Source organism: Homo sapiens, chromosome 8, assembly GCF_000001405.40.
Source record: "Homo sapiens chromosome 8, GRCh38.p14 Primary Assembly".
In the NCBI taxonomy this organism is placed as follows: domain Eukaryota; kingdom Metazoa; phylum Chordata; class Mammalia; order Primates; family Hominidae; genus Homo; species Homo sapiens.
In genome coordinates this window covers 96,019,114-96,036,612 of record NC_000008.11, presented here as the reverse complement: position 1 = coordinate 96,036,612, position 17,499 = coordinate 96,019,114, and the positions used below count along the sequence as shown (strand labels likewise).

Genomic DNA, 17,499 nt, shown 5'->3' with positions numbered 1-17,499 from the left:
AGAACTCTCCACCCCAAATCAATAGAATATACATCCTTCTCAGCACCACATCACACTTATTCCAAAATTCACCACATAGTTGGAAGTAAAGCACTCCTCAGTAAATGTAAAAGAACAGAAATCACAGCAAACTGTTTCTCAGACCTCGGTGCAATCAAATTAGAACTCAGGACTAAGAACTTCACTCAAAACTGCACAACTAAACGGAAACTGAACAACCTGCTTCTGAATGACTACTGGGTACATAATGAAATGAAGGCAGAAATAAAGATGTTCTTGGAAACCAATGAGAACAAAGGCACAACATACCAGAACCTCTGGGACACATTTAAGGCAGTGTGTAGAGGGAAATTTATAGCACTAAATGCCCACCAGAGAAAGCAGGAAAGATCTAAAATTGACACCCTAACATCACAATTAAAAGAACTAGAGAAGCAAGAGCAAACACATTCAAAAGCTAGCAGAAGGCAGGCAATAACTAAGATCAGAGCAGAACTGAAGGAGATAGAGACACAAAAAACCCTTCAAAAAATCAGTGAATCCAGGAGCTGGCTTTTTGAAAAGAGCAACAAAATTGATAGACTGCTAGCAAGACTAATAAAGAGGAAAAGAGAGAAGAATCAAATGGATGCAATAAAAAATGATAAAGGGGATATCACCACCGATCCCACAGAAATACAAACTACCATCAGAGCATATTATAAATACCTCTATGCGAATAAATTAGAAAATCTAGAAGAAGTGGATAAATTCCTGGACACATACACCCTCCCAAGACTACACCAGGGAGAAGTTGAATCCCTGAATAGACCAATAACAGGCTCTGAAATTGGGGCAATAGTTAATAGCCTACCAACCAAAAAAAAGTCCAGGACCAGATGGATTCACAGCCGAATTCTACCAGAGGTACAAAGAGGAGCTGGTACCATTCCTTCTGAAAGTATTCCAATCAATATAAAAAGAGAAAATCCTCCCTAACTCATTTTATGAGGCCAGCATCATCCTGATACCAAAGCCTGGTAGAGACACAATGAAAAAAGAGTAGACCAATATCCCTGATGAACATTGATGCAGAAATCCTCAATAAAATACTGGCAAACCAAATCCAGCAGCACATCAAAAAGCTTATCTACCACAATCAAGTAGGCTTCATCCCTGGGATGCAAGGCTGGTTCAACATACGAAAATCAATAAATGTAATCCATCATATAAACAGAACCAAAGACAAAAACCACATGATTATCTCAATAGATGCAGAAAAGGCCTTCAACAAAATTCAACAGCCCTTCATGCTAAAAACTCTAAATAAGCCAGGTATTGATGGGCTGTATTTCAAAATAATAAGAGCTATTATGACAAACCCACAGCCAATATCATACTGAATGGGCAAAAACTGGAAGCATTCCCTTTGAAAACTGGCACAAGACAGGGATGCCCTCTCTCACCACTCCTATTCAACATAGTGTTGAAAGTTCTAGCAAGGGCAATCAGGCAGGAGAAAGAAATAAAGGGTATTCAATTAGGAAAAAAGGAAGTCAAATTGTCCCTGTTTGCAGATGACATGATTGTATATTTAGAAAACCCCATCGTCTCAGCCCTAGATCTCCTTAAGCTGATAAGCAACTTCAGCAAAGTCTCAGGATACAAAATCAATGTGCAAAAATCACAAGCATTCCTATACACCAATAGCAGACAAACAGAGAACCAAATCATGAGTGAACTCCCATTCACAATTGCTTCAAACAGAATAAAATATCTAGGAATCCAACTTACAAGGGATGTGAAGGACCTCTTCAAGGAGAACTACAAACCACTGCTCAATGAAATAAAAGAGGACACAAACAAGTGGAGGAACATTCCATGCTCATGGATAGGAAGAATCAATATTGTGAAAATGGCCATACTGCCCAAGGTAATTTATGGATTCAATGCCATCCCCATCAAGCTACCAATGACTTTCTTCACAGAATTGGAAAAAACTACTTTAAAGTTCATATGGAACCAAAAAAGAGCCCGCATTGCCAAGTCAATCCTAAGCCAAAAGAATAAAGCTGGAGGCATCACGCTACCTGACTGCAAACTATACTACAAGGCTACAGTAATCAAAACAGCATGGTACTGGTACCAAAACAGAGGTATAGACCAAGGCAACAGAACAGAGCCCTCAGAAATAATACCACACATCTACAACCATCTGATCTTTGACAAACCTGACAAAAACAAGAAATGGGGAAAGGAGTCCCTATTTAATAAATGGTGTTGGCAAAACTGGCTAGCCTTACGTAGAAAGCTGAAACTGGAACTCTTCCTTACCTTTATACAAAAATTAATTCAAGATGGATTAAATACTTAAATGTTAGAACTAAAACCATAAAAACCCTAGAAGAAAACCTAGGCAATACTATTCAGGACATAGGCATGGGCAAGGACTTTATGTCTAGAACACCAAAAGCAACAGCAACAAAAGCCAAAATTGACAAATGGGATCTAATTAAACTAAAGAGCTTCTACACAGCAAAAGAAACTACCATCAGAGTGAACATGCAACCTACAGAATGGGAGAACATTTTTGCAATATACCCATCTTATAAAGGGCTAATATCCAGAGTCTACAAAGAACTTAAACAAATTTTCAAGAAAAAATCAAACAACCCCACCAAAAAGTGGGCAAAGGACATGAATAGACACATCTCAAAAGAAGACATTTATGCAGCCAAGAGACACATGAAAAGGTGCTCATCATCACTGGTCATCAGAGAAATGCAAATAAAAACCACAGTGAGATACTATCTCACACCAGTTAAGTCAGGAAAGAACAGGTGCTGGAGAGGATGTGGAGAAATAGGAACACTTTTACTCTGTTGGTGGGACTGTAAACTAGTTCAACCATTGTGGAAGACAGTGTGGCGATTCCTCAAGGATCTAGAGCTAGAAATACTATTTGACCCAGCCGTCCCATTACTGGTTATATACCCAAAGGATTATAAATGATGCTACTATAAAGACATATGCACACGTATATTTATTGTGGCACTATTCACAATAGCAAAAACTTGGAACCAACCCAAATCCAGTCCATCAATGATAGACTGGATTAAGAAAATGTGGCCCATATACACCATGGAGTATTATGCAGCCATAAAAAATGATGAGTTCATGTCCTTTGTAGGGACATGGATGAAGCTAGAAACCATCATTCTCAGCAAACTATTGCAAGGACAGAAAACCAAACAACGCATGTTCTCACTTACAGGTGGGAACTGAACAATGAGAACACTTGGACACAGGATGGGGAACATCACACACTGGGGCCTGTCATGGGGTTGGAGGAGCGGGGAGGGATAGCATTAGGAGATATACCTAATGTAAATGACGAGTTAATGGGTGCAACTCACCAACATGGCACATGTATACATATGTAACAAACCTGCACATTGTACACATGTACCCTAGAACTTAAATTATAATAAAATAAAATAAAAATAAAAAAAGAAATTATTTTAAGCAGATAGAGAGGAAAAGGGGTCCTTGGGAAGTTTTCATTAAAAAAACAAAAAAGAGGAAAACAGGCCTTTCTGCCTCTAATCCAGTCCTTTTGCAACTGTCTCAAGCTTTTGCCAAAATAATAAAATAACAATAACAATAATTAATACTACCTTTTTAAGAAAGCCAAGTGAAATGTAGAGCTGAGTCACTCTATTCCTATAATTCTTGGGACTATATGACCTGTTGGTATTCTTTGACCCTCTACTTTTCAGTCACTTTTCAATCACACCAATGACTGTTAATGTCTTTTGGCACCTGCTCTTTGGCCTGGGCCCAGATGAATTGGAAGAGCAGCCTTGAGGGCCCAGAGAGCTGAGGAACAGGCCTCCTTCCTCAGGGCAGGTGGATAGAGAAGGATGAAACACAGGTTCTTGCAGATATGTTGAAGGTGATTGGGAATTTTTGCCCTCATCTTGCCCCTGGTGAGGGGCAAATGCTGGTTTCTCAGCATTTCTGTCCTTTTCTCATTTACCAGATGAGAGAACATTGGCTTCAAAGTTGATCTAGTCTGCTTCTAGATTCTGGTTCTGCCACTTGCCAACCATGTGACCTTGGGCTTGTCACTTAACTCTTAAAAGAATCAATTTCCTCTCCCAGGAAATGGGCTAGTAATATCTTCCTAAGGGATTTGGAAGTTTTGTTTGACAAATGATGGATGCTTAAGAAAAATTGGTTAAGCCTCGATTGAAATCAAAGCTTTCAGTGGCTCCCATTGCTCTGGGATAAAGGGCACTTTATCTTAACTGGGCTGCAACTCCCTGTGAAGTCCAGCCTCTACCTTTCAGCCTTCCCCTGCAGCATGAATCACCAAAGCCCTTGGCTCCAGACACACTGGCCTTCTTTCCATCCCTCCCATTCACCATGCACCCTCTCACCACAGGGCCTTTGCACGTGCTGCTCCCTCTGTCTGGAACGTCCCTCTTTTCCCTCCTACCCACCTTTTAGAACTCAGCTTACATGTTCCTACTCCAGAAAAGCCTTCCCTGACTTGTAGATCGGCTGACCTTTGTACACATCTTCCTCATTGCACTTATCATAGGTGCAATTTTCCATTGATCTGTGTGGTTTTTGGTTCATGTTTGGGAAGATTGGAACCTTGTCTGTTTTTGTTATCTTTGAATTCTTAGTGCTGGCACATATCCTGTCACACAGTAGATTATCAATATTTGTTGACTAAATGAATGAACGAGATAATGTATACAATTTATTTGACAATTGCTAGTGTTTAGTTGATTTCGGTTGGTTTCACAGACTTCAGAAGTGTAGCAGAGATCTCTTGTGGTTGTGAAGCGCTGAGTCCCTCTGGAAGATAATATTGTGTTATGATACTAATATAGTGTTTAGAGTTGTTCTGGAATGGAATTTGAACCCCAACTTCACTTACGAACTGAACAAATTATTGTCACCTCTCTGACCTGTTTCCTCATATGAAGCATGGGACAAAAATCGCTTCCAGAGCTGTTGTTGATATTCATTCAAATATTTATGGAGTACCTTCTGCATGCCAGGCACTGTTGTAACCACTGGAAATACAGCAGTGAACAACATCAATAAAAGTAGATGCCCATATTTTGGTAGGAAAGACAGAAAATAAACAAAGCAAGTAAGTAAAATATATGTTAGATGGTAATAAGTGTAAGAAAAAATGCAGCAGAAATGAGGGTAGGAAGTATGCAATTGATATTTACATGAAGAAAATGATAGTGACAGGAAGAAATGAAGAATGTGTGAGAACATTTTAGGCAGATGGAAGGTAAGAGCCAAGGCCCTGAAGCAGGAATATGCGTGGCATGTTTGAGAAATAGAGTAGATTAGTCTAGCTGGCTGGAGAGAAGGGGTAGGGGTGGAGGGTAGCAATCAATGAGGTTTGGTGACAGTGATAAGATCATGTAGGGTTTTATGGGTCACTGTAAGGACCTTTAGTCTGAGTTGAGGAGAGTTTTAGATAGATAAGTGACATGCATTTTAACAGGACCACTGTGGCTGCTGTGTTCAGAATAGAATGATTAATCTTAATCAGGGAAGAACTAGGGAGACCAGTTAGATAAGAAAGTCTAGTGTTTGAGCCAGGGTGGTATTAGTGAAAGTGGAGAGGAATGGTTGGGTTCTTTACGTATTTTCAAGGTAAAGCTGATTTGCTACTGGCGTGGATGTGGGGTATTAAAGAAAGAGGACTCAAAGGTGAGTGAACAACAGGAAGGATGGAGTTGCCGTTTACTGAGAGGGGGAAGGTTTGGGGAGAAGTCAGTCTGTCACATGGAGTGGAAATCAGGACTTTGTTTCTGGACTTCCTAAATTTAAGATGCCAAGTAAAGACATACAATGGCAGTTAGATAAATAAATCCAAAGTTTAGGAGAGGGATCTGTAATGAAGATATATGTTTGGGAATTGTCTGCAAAGGGATGATATTTAAAGCTGTGAGACTGGATGGAGTAACATCTTGTCTAATTTTGGTAAATGTAGATTTAGAAACAGATTAGATCCCAAAACCGACATTTAGTAGAGGTTGGGATGGTAGGGGATGCCAGCAAAGAAGTCTGGCAGCCAGGAAGGTAGGAGGAAAACCAGGTGGGTATGTTATCCTGGAAGTCCAATGAAGAAAGTGTTCAGAGGGGAGGGAGTGACCCACTAGAGTCAAATGCTATTGAGAAGTCAAGTAGGATGAGATCTGAATATTGACCATTGGATTTAGCAATGTGGAGGCGAATGTTTTATTATTGTATGCATCTGTGTGTGTAATGGAGGAAGAAAAAAAATTAAGCCACAGTGACTTTCTAGGAAGCCTGCTTTTCATTGAAGGGAAGTTTTTTTGGGTCAGCTGGGTCTCTGTTAATATATGCAAGTGTGTGCCTAGAGCCTTAGGCAGTAGGATCCAGGGTAAGCTGGACCCTTTCTATAATGGAGTGAAAAGAATATGAATTGGGGGTGCATTGGGGCTACCTGGAAGGAAAGGGATGAGAAGGAAGATAAGAGGAAAGTGTGTGAAAGAAGTTACTGAGGTGACCTGAAGCTGAAGTTGTAAGAAGGACCCCCGAAAAATGTCTGATGGCCAGAGCCACAGAGCCTTGAAGAATAGGAAGGATAATATTTAAATTAGATGATTTGCTAGGATGCAACCATCTCTCCTTTGGCTAAATCCTTGGTCAAGTGTATCACACACATGAATAGCATTTGAGAGAGAGAGAGAAAGAGAGTGAGAGAGCAAGCATGTGTGTCTATACATATGCATGTGTGTGGTAGAAACTGGAGAGGTTGAACTTCATGCTTGAGTTGTCAGGAGGTGGGCCAGATGGAGGATGTATGATATAGAAGGATGATCCACAAACTGAATAGATGCAGCAGGGCATGGAAATCGGAGCTACAGATGATCATGGGAGGGTTAGTTTCCCTAGAAATTTACAGAGAAGGCTTTGGACTTCCCCTGGTGTGGCATGCGAGGCTTAAGGTGACAATATCCAGAGACATCTGGGTTAGAACTTACAAGGCACCAAGCATTCAATAGAGTTTCAGCAAATGCTACTTTCATTTTTCCATCCCAGATCCTTTCTAACCAAAAATAAGCAGGCTCTTAAAACATTTCATTAATTAATCACTATGATTAACTATTCAAAATGTACTAGTTGCAGTAGGCAGTGTAAAATTGAAGGTAAAATAAGAACTTTGTTTCCCTGGTGCTTGCAGTTGAGATGAGGAGCTAATGCAAAGCAGGATGAACTCAAGGGCTAAGTGTCAGACTTGTCAGTCTGAACAAGGGTTCAGACTATTAGAGCCATGGATTTGCTCAGTTACTTGGTGCTGTGCAAGTTTTTGGCCTTCCAAAGACACTAGACAATATTTAACCACTATTTCACAGGGCAACGAATCGGTCTATTTAGGTAATACTGTAACAAACAGTGCCCAGATTTCAGTGACTTAATCTGACAAAGGTACACTTCTTGTTTATGTCCCAGTCCAATGTGGATCAGCTGGGGTTGGAGTGGGTGGGGTGTTTTGCTCCACGTTGTCATCCAGGGACCCGGATCTTTTTGTTTTTAGTGGCCCCTTTGGCCACTTACGCCTCAGAGTCCTCTGCTGGGTATTCTGCATCTGATTGGCCAACAAATGAAAAAAGAGTGTGCAGGGAAGGACTGTCTGACCCCAGTTGCCTCCATCTAGTAGGGGCACACTACTCGGACTCATATACCTGTGGTGAAGATTGGCCATGTGGCATCACTTTGATGCAAGGGAGATGGAAAATGTGGTTTAGCTGAGTATCCATGAAGGGGAACTGGGTCTAGTGAACATCTAAATTTTCAATAATCCCTTCCATGGAGGAAAATAACATAATTACATAGGAAACTTTTTAAACAGAATGTTAAAATCTGGGTGAAGATTTTTTAAAAGATACTTTTTACTTCATAAGAGACAAATTAAGAATACAAATTAAATGGTAAGGGCATTAAATATACTTGATAGCTAGTACCTGATATTAGAGGATCCCAGCAAACCTCTTTTATTGACATTTTAGTATTTATTTATAGACATAATTACATTCATGTTTAGGTGGTAAAAGCAGCTTCTTGCAAATGGGCTTCTGGACCAAGCTGAGTTCTCAACTACTTTTATCATTAGACTAACATTGGTGAAGCTGTATTTTCTCAAGCTGAATTTGGGGGCTTTGAGAACATTTTTGACATAAACTTTCTGAAGGAAAATGGGACTGACAGTTGGAAAAATATGGAGTGAGGGTAAGCGCATGTGTTTTTTTTCTGCTTTTTAGGAGATAGAGCAGGTATTTATTTCAATTTAAAGAATAAATTTCAAGAGCAATCCCAGTGTATGAGTTACTGTGGATATAAAAATGAACTTCTTATTTCTCATCCCGCCAAGAGAATACAGACATACCTTGCATATATTGTGGTTTGGTTCTAGATCACAATAAAGTGAGTGTTACAACAAAGTGAGTCACTTGAATTTTTTGTTTCTTTTTTAGATTATTTTATTTTATTTTATTTTGAAACAAGGTCTCATTCTGTTGCCCAATTTGGAGTATAGTGGCGCAATCATAGCTCACTGCAGCTTCAAACTCCTGGGCTCAAGAGATCCTCCTCCCTCAGCCTCCCAAGTAGCTGGGACTACAGGTGAATGCCACTACACCTGGCTAATTGAAAAAATGTTGGCAGCGGGGGGGTCGAGATATGGTCTTGCTATGTTGCCTAGGCTGGTCTCAAACTACTGCCCTCAAGTGATCCTCCTGCTTTGGCCTCCCAAAGTGCTGGGATTAAGTCGTGAGCCATCACACCCAGCTGAATTTTTGGATTTCTCGATGCATATAAAATTATGTTTACACTGTACTATAGTCTATTAAGTTTACAATAGCATTATACTTAAAACAACAATGTACATACCTTAATTGAAAAGTACCTTATTGCTTAAAAACGCTAACAATCATGTGAGCCTTCATTGAGTAATAATCTTTTTGTTGGTTGGAGGATCTTGCCTTGATGTTCATGGCTGCTGACTGTGGGTGGTGGTTGCTGAAGGGTGGAGTGGCTGTGACAGTCTCTCTTTTTTTTTGAGACAGAGGCTTGCTCTGTTGCCCAGGCTGGATTGCAGTGGTGCGATCTTGGCTCACTGTAACCTCCGCCTCCCAGGTGCAAGTGATTCTCCTGCCTTATCCTCCCAAGTAGCTGCGATTATAGGTGCACGCCATTATGCCCAGCTGATTTTTGTAATTTCGGTAGAGATGGGGTTTCACCACGTTGGCCAGGCTGGTCTCGAACTCTTGACCTCAAGTGATCTGCCCGCCTCGGCCTCCCAAAGTGCTGGGATAACAGGCGTGAGCCACCGTGCCTAGCCTTGTTTCTTAAAATACAATAACAATGAAGTTGGTCACATCAATTGACTCTTCGATGATTGAAATATTTCTCTCTAGTATGTGATGCTGTTTGATGCCATTTTACCCACAGTACAGCTTCCTACAATATTGGAATAAATCCTCTCAAACTCTGCCACTACTTTGTCAACTTAGTTTAAATCCTTTGTTGTCATCTCAACAATGCTCACGGCATCTTCACCAGGAGTAGAGTCCATCTCAAGAAGACACTTTCTTTGCTCATTCATAAGAAGCAACTCTCATCCCTTCAAGTTTTCTCACGAGATTGCAGAAATCTGAACACATCTTCAAGTTCTACTTCTAATTTTAGTTCTTTTGCTTTCTCCACCACATCTGAAATGATTTCCTCTACTGAAATCTTGAATCCCTCAAAGTCATCCATGAGGGTTGGAATCAACTTCTTCCAAGCTTTTGTTAATGAGAATATTTTGACCTCCTCCCATGAATTATGAATGTTCTTAATGGCATGTAAAATGGTGAATCCTTTCTAGAGGCTTTTAATGTACTTTGCTGAGATCCATCAGAGGAATGACTCTATAGCTGCTATAGCCTTATAGAACGCATTTTTTAAATAGTAACATTTGAAAATCAGAATTACTCCTTGATCCATGGGTTGCAGAATGGACATGTGTAGCAAGCATGAAAACAATATTAACCTCCTTGCACGTCATTAATCTCCATCTACAACATTAATCTCCATGAGAGCTCTTGGGTGACTATGTGAATTGTCAATAAACATTTGAAGGGAATCTTTTTTTCTGAGAAGTAGGTCTCAAGAGTAAGCTTAAAATATTCAGCAAACCATACTGTAAACAGATGTGTTGTGATCCAGGTTTTGTTCTTTCATTTATAGAGCACAGACAGAGTAAATGTAGCATCATTCTTAGGAGACCTAAGATTTTTGGAATGGTCCAAAGAGCATTGGCTTCAACTTAAAGTCACCAGCATTAGCCCCTAACAAGAAAGTCAGCCTGTCCTTGGAAGCTTTAAAGCCAGGCATTGAATTCTCCTCTCTAGCCACGAAAAGTCTTAGTTTGCACCTTCTTCCAATAGAGGGCTGTTTTGCCTATGTTGAAAATCTATTATTTAGAATAGTTACCTTTATCAATGATCTTAGCAAGATCTTCTGGATAACTTGCTGCAGCCTCTTCATCAGCACTTGCTGCTTCACCTTGTATTTTTATATTATGGAGATGGCTTCTTTTCGTAAACCTCATGAACCAAGTTTGGCTAGCTTACACTTTTCTTCTGCAGCTTCCTTACCTCTGTCGGCCTTCATAGAATTGAAGAGACTTAGGCCTTACTCTAGATTAGGCTTTGACTTAAGGGAATGTTGTGGCTGCTTTAATCTTCTATCCAGACCACTCAAACTTTCTCCATATCAGCAATAAAGCTGTTTCACCTTCTTATCATTTGTGTATTCTCTGGAGTAGCACTTTTAATTTCCTTCAAGAATTTTTCCTTTGCATTCACAACTTGGCTCTAACTGTTTGGCACAAGACGGCTAGCTTTCAGCCTGTCTCAGCTTTCTACATGCCTTCCTCACTAAGTTTAATCCTTTTGTAGCTTTTGATTTAAAGTGAGAGACCTTTAAAGTGACTCTTCCTTTCACTTGAACACTTAGAGGTCACTGTAGAGTTATTAATTGGCTTAATTTCAATACTATTGTGTCTCAGGGAATAGAGAGGCCCAAGAAGAGGGAGAGAGACAAAGGAACACCTGGTCAGTGAAGCAGTGAGAACACACACACCACAGATTGGTTAAGTTCATCATCTTATATGGGTAGGGTTTGTGGCACCCCCAAACAATTAAAATAGTAACATCAAAGATCACTGATCACAGGTCATCATAACAGATATAATAATAATGAAAAAGTTTGAAATATTGTAAGAATTACTCAAATGTGACATAGTACACAAACTGAGTGCATGCTGTTGGGAAAAATGGTGCTGACAGACTTGCTGAAGGCCAGGTTGCCACAAACTTTCAATTTGTAAAAAAAATGTAGTATCTGTGAAGCACAGTAAAGTGAAGCACAATAAAATGAGGTATGCCTGTAATTATTTTGAATAACACACAAAAAAGGGCCTTTGATTTGGCTAAAATAGTGCAGTTAGCCAAACTTTATCATCATCAAGCAAAATGTAATATAGTCATCTTTCTACTTCTTGTGGCTGAAGCAGAGTATTTGAGGAGAAGCAGAGCAAGCATTGTAATAATGTAGGTGAACTAGAGAGGAATTCTATGGACAATTTATAAACCATATGTACCATTTTCAAAAGAATACTGACATCTTGGGGCAAAACCTTATAGGTTCTGTTGTGTGTTAGTCATATGCCATTGCTTGAAATTATATCACCAATACAGCCTTGAAATATGAGATTTCTTTTAATTAACATCCTCATGAACCTTATCACCAGGTTCAATGTGATTTTTGTTCTTGATATACTCACTCTTTTGCCTGAGGCTGCCTACAGGAGGCCACGTCCCAACTCTCCCATAAAAATGACTTCCACATTCCACATCCCAATTACTCTGAAGGACCTGCCCAAGATGCCTATAAAACCCTACTACAGTCTACACCACCTTCTAACTAATATTCTACATGTGTTTTTGATCAATGAATCAGATTTTCAAAAGTCAGAACGGTTTTCCACGTGGAATTTGAGTAAACATATAAACCTTTGTTATTTATATACATGTTTCAAAAAATAACATATGAGGCCAAAGATGTACAAAGAGCACTGGACTTAGAGTCAGACGAGCTCAATTATCAGGCCAGCCACTTATTCTCAGAGTGACATTGGGAACATTAGCTAATCTTTTTGAGCCTCAATTTCCTGATTTATAGTTACCTCCAGGGTTATTGTGAGACTGACATGAGCTAGTGTATGCCAAGGGCTCACACAATGAGATGCTTATGCTAGGTGTTCAGGAGATAAACCTGCCTTGCCTTTATGAGGAATTTTTAGGTATCAAGAAGAAACATATTCAGCTCAACTGTTACTGGGAATACTTTTGGTTACAAGTGACAGAAGCTTAAACCAAATGGATTGAAACAATGTAAGAAATTTCTTAGCTCATTTAGTTGAAAATTCCAGAGGTGCAGCATCAGGCATGGTTTGGTCCAGAGGTTCTGCATATCACCAGGGCTGTATGCCCGTTTTCCTGGAATACTCTTGGTTTTGCCCAGTTTCATATTTTGGCTTAATCTTGGGTTGGCTTCTTTCATGTCACATGGCTGCCAGCTGCTCCAGGACTAGTTTCCTCATTAATATCCAAGGAGAAAAATAGTTTCTGTTGTCCCAAACACCAAATGGTAATTATGATCTTCCCTCTGGTTGGACTAGTTTAAGTCATGGGTTCATCCCTGAACCTATCAGTGTGACTAGGGAAATCTGATTCCTTGATTGGCTTAGACCAATCAGGGCCAATCTCTGGAGCTGGAGAAGTGGAGTTAAAATTGCGAAAATCACGAATCTGGGGAGTTTCTTGTCTTATTAGGAATGGGGGAAGGAATGGGGGGAAGACATTCCACTGACAAATCCACTCCTCTGTCTTCTTCCCATGTCTCACACTCCTTTCTTTCCTTATGTACATCTTCAAAAGTTCATGCCTACTGGAATCACAAGCAGCTCTCATTTTGAGTTCCAGATTCTGGATTTGCAGCTGATGTGTCTTCTTCTAGGTCAGTTTCTGGATGGAGTTTTTCATAGTCTGATATAGCTAAATAATGTTACCCACTCCTGTGGAAAAACCTGCAATTTTCCCCTCATTATCTAATCTCCCAATCCTCCCTTTAGTAACAGAACTCCTGATTTTCAACCAAGCACATGGCCACCCAGCTAGACACCACATTTCCTAGACTTCTTGACATTAGATGTGGCCATGAATCCAAATTCACAACAAAGGGATATGAACAAAAGTCAAACGTGCCACTTCTCCTTTATAGCCTTAAAACATATCATTTGTCCTCTCTTGTCTGTTCCCCTTCCTGGGAATGAGAATGCCATGTGGTGGTGAGCAAGGTGGGCTAAAGAGCATAACAACCCAGGCCAGTGGTTTTTGAAAAGGGTCCTGGACCAGCAGTCCAGGGAGCTCACTGGAAAGGCATATTTTCAGGTCCTACTCCAGAACTGGTGAGTCAGGAATTATGGCAGTGGGGCCCAGAAACTTCTGTCTTAATAAGCTCTCCAGGGCATACACACAGAAGTTTGAGAACCACTGTTGGGGTGATTTTTGGCCCTATACCCTCCAACATTTGGCAGTATTTTTGATTGTCACAATGTGGAGGGACAGGAAGGTACTGCTACTTCCATCTAGCAGGTATGGAACAGGCTCACTCTAAACATCCTACTATGCACTAGATAGTCCCAACAGCACAGCTTTATCAGGCCTCAAAAGTCAATATTGCTGAGCTTGAGAAATCCTGCTCTAAGGAAAGTGGAATAATGAAATCGAAGCATTGTGAGTTCCTGGCTAACCCTGGAAAGAACTGTTTAGGGACTCTCTCTGATCTCTACTCTGCACTGCCCAATATGGTAGCCACCAGCTACATGTGGCGTTTGAGCTCCCGAAATGGGACTAGTCTGAATTGACATGGGCTATAATTTAGTCCCTCCCAAAAAAGAATGCAAAATATATCAATAGTATTTTATATCAATTACATGCTGAAATGAAAATATTTTGGATATATTAGTTAAAAGAAATATATTATCAAAAATTAATTTCACTGCTTATTTTTTCCAGTGTGGCTACTAGAGAATTTCAAATTACAAATGAGACTTGCCTTATATTTCTATTAGACAGTGCCGCTCTAGCACTTAAGAAATAAATTTCTTTCTGTCTTCTTTGAGCCACTGTAGTTTTAGGTCTCTTCGTTGCAACAGCTAAGCCTGTTTTCCTTTCTATGATAACCCAGTAAATATAAAATGGTGGAGGATAGCTTCAAGGAAAACTTTTATTGGAAGAAATAGACAATGAGAAAACAGTACACAGTGGTCTCTGATTCACTGTATGTATTTTTCCCTGCTTGACAGGAACAGTGAAGTGTTCTTGCCTTGGTAATGCAGTGAGTTCCTTGGTTAGCCAATCTGACAAATCCTAGATGTGCTGTCTGGAAACGTCTCCCTTGTCCGTTGTCCTCTTAGCCCATCTGAGATAGATATTGGCACATATGCCCTTTTTGGGATCTGTACTTCTTTGAAGCCCATTACTTTTTGGTGCAAATTTGAGGGGCCTGGAAATTACCTCAGGGATTGAAGAATCACAGGCTGTTGTCAGCCAGGCTTGGGTTTCTTGGACTGAACCAAATTCCTTAAAAACCTGAAGGCTTCCTGTCTATTTGCCTTCCACCAATTCCATGAGCTGATAATCAAAGCCAGAGTCCTTGTCTAGTCATCTCTGAGTCTGGGAATTCCGGTCTCTCAGCAACAGGCTTCTGTGCTCTGCCTTGCCAAGATAGCCAGGGCTGAGCACTTTGCCAAAATTCTGCCATCCATCTTGCACCTGAAAAGCAGCCAGCCCACGGGTGCCGCCCCACAGAGATACCTGGCACTTCGTGGTGCATAAGCAAATTGCCGGGATCCTGCCTGTGAGTTTCCATTCAAGGCATGGGAAGAGTCAGTTGGTCAGCAGTGTCTGAAGCTGGGGCTGCAGGGCCAAGAGGTGGTGGGGTTGTCGTGAAAGAGGTGGTGGGGTCATTGTGATGGCTGAGCACTTGAATAAGCCACAGTCCCCTGTTGTGGAGCAGCAACAAGGCCAACAGGCATGAGAGCTTTTTACACGCTGAATAAGGCTCCAGTTTCTGAATATCTTTCTGGGCTCCATAAAACCTAGTTGTGTGGCCAGGGTGGTAGGTTTCAGAAGTGAGAGCAGGGTGACCTCTCTATATAGGAAGTCCCATAAAGGAACCCTTTTTCCTGGCCTAGCCAATACCTCTCCAAGTGAGCATCCCAGTCATGCACCCCTGCTGTCTGTATATGGCACACCCTCTTCCTAGGGGGTACTTGTCAGGCACTCTAAGTCCCCTGCTTTTAGAAATGGACAGAATAAAATCCCCCTCTTAGATTTGTAAGTAGATTTTTCTGGCAGAATAACGAGCCCCTCTTGCCATTAATCTTAATAAGCTTTGGGGCTAACAAAATCCATTTTCCCAAGGTCGGAATTATTCTTAAGTGGACTTTGGGAAACATTTTAACCTTTTTGTCACTCAGGCTAAAGAATTAAAACACATTTCTGGAATTTTTTTCTGGGGTTACTAGGAAGCCAGAGTGAGGCGTGGCTGCCTTTGTGTATTTTTCTTTATAAAAACCTTGATGTCAGGGGACCCAGGCCCTTCTCAGCTCCGGTTTGTGTTTGTATTTCCACGTATAGTGCACATTCCTGGTGGATATTTCTAGGAAAAAGAAGAAAAAGTGGCATAATGATAGACTAAGGCAAGGAAAATGTTTTTGTGAAGCAAACAGGCCAAAAATGAAAAAATGGGAGCAACTCTGACCCTGGTATACCACCCTACTCATAACCCAGGCAGCAGGGTTACCAGCTTTGCCTTACATTCTCAGACTAAATTCGTCTAATGTAAAACAGTGCATGGGAACCGAACTCCCGTTTTCTCTCAGGTATGGTGACATAGTAGGAGATGTCACTTTGAATACTTCCAAATGAGAAAGAAAGATGACAGATTTGGCTGCTGCATGGTTCAAAGATGCAGGAAATGGATACAATACGTGGTGTCGTTTAGATTCAAAACAAGGGTACTTGAGTGTTCAGTGTTACTTGCAATAAATATATTAGATTTAAGCCTCAGTTTGAACCTAACCATAACTGGATTCTTAACTATCTAGTTTAAATGACTGGTAACATGAAGCATTTCATAATTTCTGGTCCATTAGTTGCGATCAGGTCCTAATTAACATTCCAGGACCTGGTTTTAGCCAACCTATGTGGAAAATTTGAAGTGGGAACACATATCTGGGGCTATGCCTCTAGTATGGTGTGTATCACGTTGTGGTTTCTGCTACATTTTTTTGGGGTGGGGGGCAGAATTGGACCAGTGGAGATTACCCACACAGTTATGAGTTGCTTAATGACGGGGATATGTTCTAAGAAATATATCATTACGTAATTCTGTTGTGTGAACATCATAGTGGGTACTACCCAAACCTACATGGTGTAGCCCACTACATACCTAGGCTATAAGATATAGTCTATTGCTCCAAGGCTACAAACCTGTACAGCATGTTACTGTACTGAATATTGTAAGCAATTGTAATACAGTGGTAAGTATTTGTGTATTGAAACATATCTAAATATAGAAAAGGTACAGTAAAATTATGGTATAAAAGATATAAAATGGTACACCTGTACAGGGCACTTACCATGAACAAAGCTTGCAGGACTGGAAGTTGCTCTGGGTGAGTCAGTGAGTGAGTGGTGAGTGAATGTGAAGGCCTAGGACTTTACTGTACACTACTACGGATTTTATAAACACAGTACACTTAGGCTACACTCAGGCTACACTCAATTTAGGAAAACATGTTTTTCTTTCTTCAATAATAAATCAACCTTAGCTTACCGTGACTTTTTAACTTTATAAACTTTTTACTTTTTTAACTTTTTAACCCTTTGTAATAACTGCTTAAAACACAAACATCGCTGGGCACGTGGCTCACACCTGTTATCCCAGAATTTGGGAGGCTGAGGCAGGTGGATCACCTGAGGTTAGGAGTTTGAGACCAGACTGACCATAATGGTGAAAACCCGTCTCTACTAAAAATACAAAAATTAGTTAGGCATGGTGGCTCACACCTGTAGTCCCAGCTACTCGGGAGGCTGAGGCACGAGAATCACTTGAACCCGGGAGGCAGAGGTTGCAGTGAGCCAAGATCACACCACTGCACTCCAGCCTGGGCAACAGAGTGAGACCCGGTCTCAAACAAACAAACAAACAACAAACAAACAAACAAACACAAACACATCACATTGTACAGCTGTACAAAATATTTCCTTTCTTTATATCCATACTCTATAAGCTTTTTTCTATTTTTAAAGTTTTTAACATTTTTCCTACTTTTAA

General features: G+C 40.5%; 1 long non-coding RNA gene across 1 annotated transcript in view; it reads right to left on the bottom strand.

The window, feature by feature from the left end:
• Positions 1 to 3,527: 3,527 nt before the first annotated feature.
• Positions 3,528 to 17,499, bottom strand: part of LOC124901983 (uncharacterized) — a 28,625-nt gene continuing 14,653 nt past the window's right edge. Inside the window, exon 3 of the long non-coding RNA XR_007061016.1 lies at positions 3,528 to 15,819. This is a non-coding gene — a long non-coding RNA (uncharacterized LOC124901983). The remainder of the gene's footprint in view (positions 15,820 to 17,499) is intronic.